Here is an 8,055-nt window from a genome sequence, read left to right on the forward strand (position 1 = left end):
GATTGCTTAAGCCCAGGAGTTCAAGACCAGCCTGGGCAACATAGTGAGACCCTCTCTAAAACAATTAAAATTTAAATTAGCTAGACCTGGTGGCACATGCCTGTAATCCAAGCTACTTGGGAAGCTGAGGTGGGAGGATCACTTGAGCCCAGGAGTTTGAGGCTACAGTGAGCTATGATCGCACCACTGCACTCCAGCCTGGGCCACAGAGCCATATCCCATCTTAAAAAAATGGTATGAGTCAATTGTGTTTCACTGCTGAAGACTACCTCAACTATGTCATCTACATATATGATTCCTCCCATGAAAAGTTCAACATTATTGTCAAGGCTAAGAAATGGAAACTTGTCTATATTAGGAAACCCATTTCCACTTTCTAGGAGTGAGATATTGCCAATATCAAGTAAGATAATGCTAGCATCTAATATGTTATGTAGCCCACTAGTCTCTTTCTTCTCTTGGAGAAGGCTAGAGTTCATGTTAGAGATGGAGGCACATTATCTCTTCCTATTCTGCAGATGGCCCAACGTTTGTGATGGAAGTGAACCATGAGAAGTATGACCACTTCTCCTCTTGTACTGCAAACTCTCTGGCCCCCTAATCAAGGTTATCCATCCATGACAACTTTGGATCATGGAGATACTCATTATCACAGTTCACACCATCACTTCCATCGTGAAAAATCCAGATGGTTTCTTAATAGGAAACTGTGGTATGTTAGTCATACCACAGTTGGTGCTGTCCAGATTATCATTGCTGCAAACACTGACACCACCAAGGCTATGGGGAAGGTCATTCCTGTGCTGAATGGGAAGCTCATTGATATGGTTTTCTGTATCTCCAACATGTCTGTCATGGACCTGACCTGCATTCTGGAGAAAGTATACAAGTATAGCGACATCAATAAAGTGTTGAGTCAGGCATTGGAAGGCCCCTTAGAGGACACCCTGGCCTACGCTAAAGACCAAGTTATCTCCTGTGACTTTAACAGTGACACCCATTCCTCCATCTTTGATGCTTGGGCTAGCATTGATCTCCATGACCATATTGTTAAGTTCATTTACTGGTAGGACAATGAGTTTGGCTGTAGGAACCAAATTGCAGACTTCATGGTTCATGTGACCACTAGGGAGTAAGGGCCCCAGACCAGTGTTCCCAATGACAGCACAAGAGGAAGACAGAGGCCTTCAGCTCTGGGGAGTTCTATCTCAAATCTACCCATCAACACAATGAGAATCACTGTTCTCAACATGATTCCCATCTCAATCCCCGTAGAAGAAAAGTGCCATCAATATAGTTGACTATAGCCACCAGGAAAAAAAAAATGATATGGTTTTCCATGAGCAAAAATTTTAGGAGTCCATTGCCAGTTAGAGTATGAGGCATTGCAAATAAAGGCTTCAGTGCAGACACCATTTAGACATGGTGTAGAAATGGGCCTCCACTCATGGTTTCTAGGCATGACTGTTTAGGCCCTATGGAATACATTGAAACACTTTCTCCTTTCCTTTTCTGTGTCATTCTGTGCTGTATTTTTTTTCTCTACTGCTCTACTGATAGGGGTTAAAACTGGTTGTACATGTCTCTTTAGCCACTAGCACCCTGCAGCTGTGACACCATTGTGAGTGTCACCTTTTAACCTAGGACACCATGATATATGTCACAAGGTACAAAACCTAGTTACACTACCCTACTTAATAGAGGCAGTTGGCCCATTTAGGAGGAGGAAGGATATTTCCCATATGGGGCTTCTATGTGATACGGGAGGCTCTTTGTCATAAATGTGTGTATATAGAAGCAGGGGGCTTCCTGTGAGCTCCAAGGGTGGTCTCAAAGTCAGGGACCCTTCAGGTCATATTTCTGCCCATGTTTTTATTTGTGCATCCATTAAGAACAGATCTTGGTATGACCTAAGAATAACTGTTACTAAGCCCCTTGCCAGGCATTGGCTCTGTGGGAGGTCTTAAGCCAAGCACAGAAACTATTAACCAAGTTGGAGTTTAGGAGATTCTGTGAGTATAAAATGGGAGCCTGAGGAAATGTTGGTCTCATATAGAAAATTTGGAGTTAGTCACCCTGGCCATGTGTTCTGTGGGTCATGAGGAAGAGCCTTAAATTCCCAAAGAGCTCACCATTGAATTATACCATCAGGATCCATTATTTTGGATTAAGTCATTACTTCCTCTCTTTTAGGGTATTGGGGGAAATGCTCTTTAAAAATATACAGCTAGAACAAGGAGGGAGTAAGTGGAAGCACTGGAAGATTTGGGAGAGAGCCAGAAAATGTTAAGTTTGGGCTGATGAGGTCAAAACTCCCAACTCTGGGAAGGGCTGGCTCAGAGCTTGCTTCCTTCCTTGCTTGCTTTCTGTACTCAGCGTAAGGGAGCATCTGTCAGACCCAAGAAGGCACAGAACCACAAGTGCCTCGTCTCTTTAGGATGAAACTGGATAGTTGTTGAGCAGGAAGCAGCTTGGCACATAGAAATAAGTGATTGGGATTCCACTGAGGGAAGAAGATAAGACCTGGGTAAGCCATGGGCTTGTGCTGGCTTGAATTTCAAGTATCTTTGGGCTTTTAGCACTGTGAAAAGCAGGGAGCTCTTGAGAAGAAACTGAGGAAAGAAAGTGGAGATCATATGTTGTTAATTAGAAAAGAAGGAATGACAAGAATGCTAAGCTTTAGCTTCAGTTCTCCTTGTAAGTTGATGACAAGCCACATGTAAAGTTTAAGATGGGTATTTTTGAACTCATCCTTCTGCCCACTGGAGCAGCTCCAGCTGTATGGTAAAGAAACAAATGTGGCAAAACAGGATGTTTCAGGCTTTTACTTTCGAAGGGCCAAATGGAAGTAGAGATCTGGTCCTTTGGTCTCCTAATCACTGAAGATTGAAGGGTTTGTGACTCTCTAGGGCTGTATTTCTCACCCTGAGTAGGCATGCTGTTTTTTCAGGTGTGATTACAGGAGGGAAGAAAAGAGTAATCAGGTTAAGTAGGCCCTGTGAGGGAAGAATATGGGATTTCTCAGGTACAATGGCAGAAATAGGTGACCACTTCTGAGTCTACCAAGAATCCTTGGGCATTTCACTAAAACTGTCACTCAAAACTCCCAGATGGAATAATCTGTAGGTTTCCAAACAAAAAGATGGCGTCTTTCCTGGATTTCAAGCTTCTAGATACCTAGACCTCCTCTGGATAGAAAGAAGGAGATGCTTGACTGTGTATGCCTTTGCCTGGGGAGAATATAAGGAATTTTAATGATTTCCTGTGTAAAGTCGTGAGGGGCCTTGGGTAGCCAGTATAAACACAAGGCATTTCAGTTGATTGGATTTATGTTCCTGAAATCAGGAAACAGGCCAATGTAAGCCTCTGTTTAGCTCCATTCTACGGGACTGGAAGTTGGAATGCAAGGAGATGCTGCCTCAGTTTTTATCTTGTAGTCAGTGGCCACTCTGTTCTTTTTGGCTGTTGTTTCAGCTACTTAAATGAGTGTGTGTGTGTGTGTGTGTGTGTGTGTGTGTGTACAGTGTGTATATATATATATATATATATATATATATATATATATGCTACCTCACTTCTCAGGGAGGTTAGGGGCTGACAGAGGGTCTGACTTCCATGGATAGGATGACTGAGTCACAAAAGGACTCCCTTCAAGCCTGGGATAATATTTCTGAAAGATACAGGGATTAGATCATATGTTCTTGAACATCCTTTTCAGAAAATCCCTTGTGTAAGAAGCACAAAGGACATCCAGGAGCTTCCATTCTTCATCTGTTATCCAAGCCTATAGGGTCTACATCACTTTATCTCAAACTCATTTTTATACCCTGTCTTATGCAAAGAACTTGACACTAAGTTAGACAGCTCTGGAATCCAGCTTGGGCTCTGCCATCAGCTAGTTGTTTAAACTAAACAATTTACGAAGTAAAAGTAGCCACCATTGACTACTGTGTCAGCCCAATGCTCAGTGCCTTACATAGATGTTCACATTTCATCCTCACAACCCTGGGAGGTAGGGACTACTATTATCCTCACTTGAGGAGGATACTGTTTTCTAGTTGAGAAAACTAAAGTTTAGTCATTGACTCAAAGTAAATGGCTAATCAGTGGCAAAGTCCAAATTAGAATCCAGAATTGTTTCCAAAGCCCACCATCCTAAGCATTAAAGTAGACTGCTTCCACTCATACACTTTGTACTCTTTCTGTTCTGGGTCCTTGTACAATAGGAATAATTATTTGAAAATACCTAGCCTGCCTTCTTTATGAGAATGTTTCCAGGACAAAATGAGAGGATGGCTATCTCATTCCATGAACATTTATGTGTTATGGGAAAGACATTATTCTGGGGTGTGGGTATTCAAAAACAAATAAGAGGTTCCTTCCCTCCAGGAGATTACCATCTGTATATTCTGTCTTGAAATCTTGCCATCTGTGAAACTGCCTGGAAAAACATAAAGCATTATGCAAGTGCCTGTTTCCTATGATACTGTTTTATTGCATGTACAGTGAAGGAAAACTAACAGCCATAGGTACAGAACAAGCCAGGGTAAAATTCCACATGGCTTTCAGCTGCTCCCTACAAAACTTGGCAAGCAGCTGTTGCCAGTCCCAAGTGAGAATGAAAGGAGAGGAAATGGGCAGTAATATGAAGAGTGACTATAATGTAATGTGACTGCTGCTTTTTTGCAATCATATTAGGATGTGCACATCCTAAAGAGTGGTGTCCCCTTCAGACTAGTACCTTGGGAGGCTAAATCCCTGTACATTTATTGCAATGATGTTGCCATTGCTCAAAATATTTTTTGGAACTCCTCTTTAGTAATTGAGTTCAGAGCCTGGGGCACATCCTTTTGAATAACCACAGTGGTGATAAATCTTTGTCCCTTGAGGATGGATTTGATTTTAGCAAACAGCTAAAAGTCATTCGGAGCCAAGTCTATAGAATAAGGTGGGTGATCCAGCTCAGTAATAGAGTCTTTAATTTTTTTAAAAGAAAACAAAACCACTTCCTCTCTTCTTCATTCCTTTCCCCACCCTACTTTCCCCTTTCTTCCCCTCTCTTCTTCTCCCTTCCAAGTATGACTGTGAGCCATGAAGACCAGTTTTCTTGTGTGGTTAATAACCTAGTGTAAGCATTAAATGACTACTATACAAGGTCACAAGACTATGTAAGGGGTGAACTAAGATTAAACACTATGTCTTATGCAGATCACAGCATTAAAAACTTCAGCTAACAGGGAAGCTTTATGATGACAAAGGAACCTAAATAATGGAAATACATGAGCAGAGGACTATGGGTTATTCGTCTCTAAAGGTTTTGCTATATCCTGCACAGAGGACACAATTATATCATTGCTTGATGTCAGTAGAAATGTCCTGTGACTTGGTACTTCTTTCCAGACAAATCCAACTGGGGATAGGCCAACACCTCTGAAAACTGACTTTCCAAATAGATTATAAGGATGAAACAAGAACTCTCTGCTTCTCTACCCACCCTGGAAACAATAATATTGTAGGAGAGTCAGGGCTGTGCCTGAGCAAACTTGTGAAGGCATGGAAACATGTGTCTTTGGCAACCACTTTTTCATATCTGCCTCCTCAATTGCTATCACCACCTTCCCTTTATCTCCCTATTCCCCAGTTAAGGAGAAGAGTGTCCAGTTAGTGCATTCATGTTAAGAGGTTACAAAGACCATATACATTTTAGAAGAGGGCATCAGGGCTGTGATGAATCCAAAAAAAAGAGAAAAAAAAAAGGAAACCAGACAAGCAGAAGAGCTTGCCACATCAGGGAGGAGATATTTTAAGGCAAGGCCAGAATACCTCAAGTCACCCAAGAGAGGCAATATCTGCCACTCCTGTGCATGACATTATCCCTAGAGTGAGTTCTACCACAGGCTTTTTTCTCTCAAGTGTTGGCTTCCATTTTAAGAGCTAGACTTTGAACCACAGAATTTCAGAGCTGCCAAAGCCCTCAAGGAGATCCCATACTGTCATTTTAAAAATTGAAAGCTAGGATGAGTGCAAGGGAGAAGCAGGAAGAGTAATAGCCTGCTCCCAGATCACAAAAGAAGTTAATGGCCCTACTGGAGCTAGAACGCAGGTCCCTGGCTTCCCACCACAGTGGGTTTTTTTTTTCTCCAGGCCAGCAGTAGTTTGCAGAAATGCCTGCTTCAAAGGCTTTGTAAAGTGAGTCACACTTCCCGTGCTAGTTTCCTCTTGATACAAGAAGCTCTTATGTTTCTCAGTGGAGGAAGGAATGAGAAAAATGTCAGAATTCTATTCCATTTCCAGAGGCCCAACAGCTTCTCTCTTTTGAGGACAAGCAATCCCCTTGGGAACTCAGGATCATTGCTTTTGAGTTCAAGCAGCCAGCATGCCTTTCACAGCAACTCGAGTTTGTGTGTGTTATTGAATCCCCAAGATGAACTATTAGAGAACTATGTTTCCATGGGTCCCAGAGCACATGGTCTTAATTAGAATGTGCAAGAGAAAAGCAAATTTCCCCTTCTGAAGGTCTGAAAGTAACTTGAAATGCAGTCAATATTGTTCCAGCAGCCAATGCCTGGCTTCCAGCTGCTGCTTGGTGAAAATTCAAAACTCAAGATGACGCGTGGAGGGGTAGGTAGAGGTATAGAAGGCCAAACTGGGGAATAGAACCATAGGAGGACTGTAGTTAAAAGAGTACTAGGTTGTAGCTTCCCCAGGCTTCACCTCTGTCCCATTTCCAAGCCTCAACAAACTCAGGCAGAGCTGATTGCAAGCCCATCCCAGTATGGGGTTCTATAGTGAGACCCACTGGACACTAGATCAACTCCTACCTCCTATATAAAGTTTCCAGACTACTCTGGCTGACAGGAAACCCTCATGGCTTCTCAGCTCTTTCAACAAGAATATGATTACTTGCCGGGTGCGGTGGCTCACACCTGTAATCCCAGCACTTTGGGAGGCCGAGGCAGGAGGATCACAAGGTCAGGAGATCGAGACCATCCTGGCTAACATGGTGAAACCCCGTCTGTACTAAAAATACAAAAAATTAGCCGGGCATGGCGGCGGGCGCCTGTAGTCCCAGCTACTCAGGAGGCTGAGGCAGGAGAATGGCGTGAACCCGGGAGGCGGAGCTTGCAGTGAGCAGAGATCGTACCACTGCACTCCAGCCTGGGCGACAGAGCGAGACTCCGTCTCAAAAACAACAACAACAACAACAACAACAACAACAACAAAAGAATTGATTACTCACCATTGAGTACATCTTTCCACTATTATATCCAATTCTTCAGTCTTCAGTGGGTGTGTTACCTTCTTCCTTCTCAGCTATATTGCAAGACTCTTGAGATCAGAATCTATCTCTTCGTTTTTGCATATTCTATAGTGCCTGACTCAATTAAGGCCTTGCAGGTGACTGACCACAGAGAAGAGTTTGGACAAGGCACAGTAGCACAAATGGTCCTCTCATCTTTTGCTGACCTTTTCCATCCAGGTTGCCACTCTGATCTGCACAGTTATGCTGGACATGTGAACTATAGGAAAGGCCAGCCCCTGAAGAATCCACCAGAGATAAGGCAGTGGAGGATAGGTGAGTGCTTTAGCAGGGTTAGGCAGTGAGGCCAAGCAAGTTGGATAAAGGGCAGGCAGAAAGACATTAAGAAGAGGAATGTAACTTCCCTCCCCATTTTTATCGAGGGTTGGTTAACTTGCTGGAGGAATATCTGTTGGAGAAGGAGGAGTTAAGAAGAATCTAACTTCTTCCATCCTGATGTTTGCTAATGCCAGATTTGAGCCTTATAGTTATTTTTTTTTCTTTTCTTTTCTTTTTTTTTTTTCTGAGATGGAGTCTGACTCTGTCACCCAGGCTGGAGTGCAGTGGTGCGATCTCGGCTCACTGCAACCTCTGCCTCCTGGGTTCAAGCGATTATCCTGCCTCAGCCTCCTGAATGGCTGGGATTACAGGTGCACACCACCATGCCCAGCTAAATGTTTTTGTATTTTTAGTAGAGATGGGGTTTCACCATGTGGGCCAGGCCAGGTATCGAACTCCTGACCTCAAGTGATCCA

The 8,055-nt window shown here is 43.2% G+C and overlaps 1 pseudogene, besides 1 other annotated feature; it reads left to right on the forward strand.

The window, feature by feature from the left end:
- On the forward strand, positions 252-1,136 carry GAPDHP77 (GAPDH pseudogene 77; annotated as a pseudogene).
- Positions 5,865-6,475: an enhancer, noted in NCBI's record as "NANOG-H3K27ac hESC enhancer chrX:108590655-108591265 (GRCh37/hg19 assembly coordinates)". NCBI's record gives its function as "activates a minimal SCP1, AML or CMV promoter by ChIP-STARR-seq in naive H9 embryonic stem cells {active_cell/tissue: H9 hESC(naive)}" and the evidence as "EXISTENCE:reporter gene assay evidence [ECO:0000049][PMID:30033119]".

The sequence above is a fragment of the Homo sapiens genome, chromosome X, assembly GCF_000001405.40.
Source record: "Homo sapiens chromosome X, GRCh38.p14 Primary Assembly".
Taxonomy (NCBI): Eukaryota; Metazoa; Chordata; class Mammalia; order Primates; family Hominidae; genus Homo; species Homo sapiens.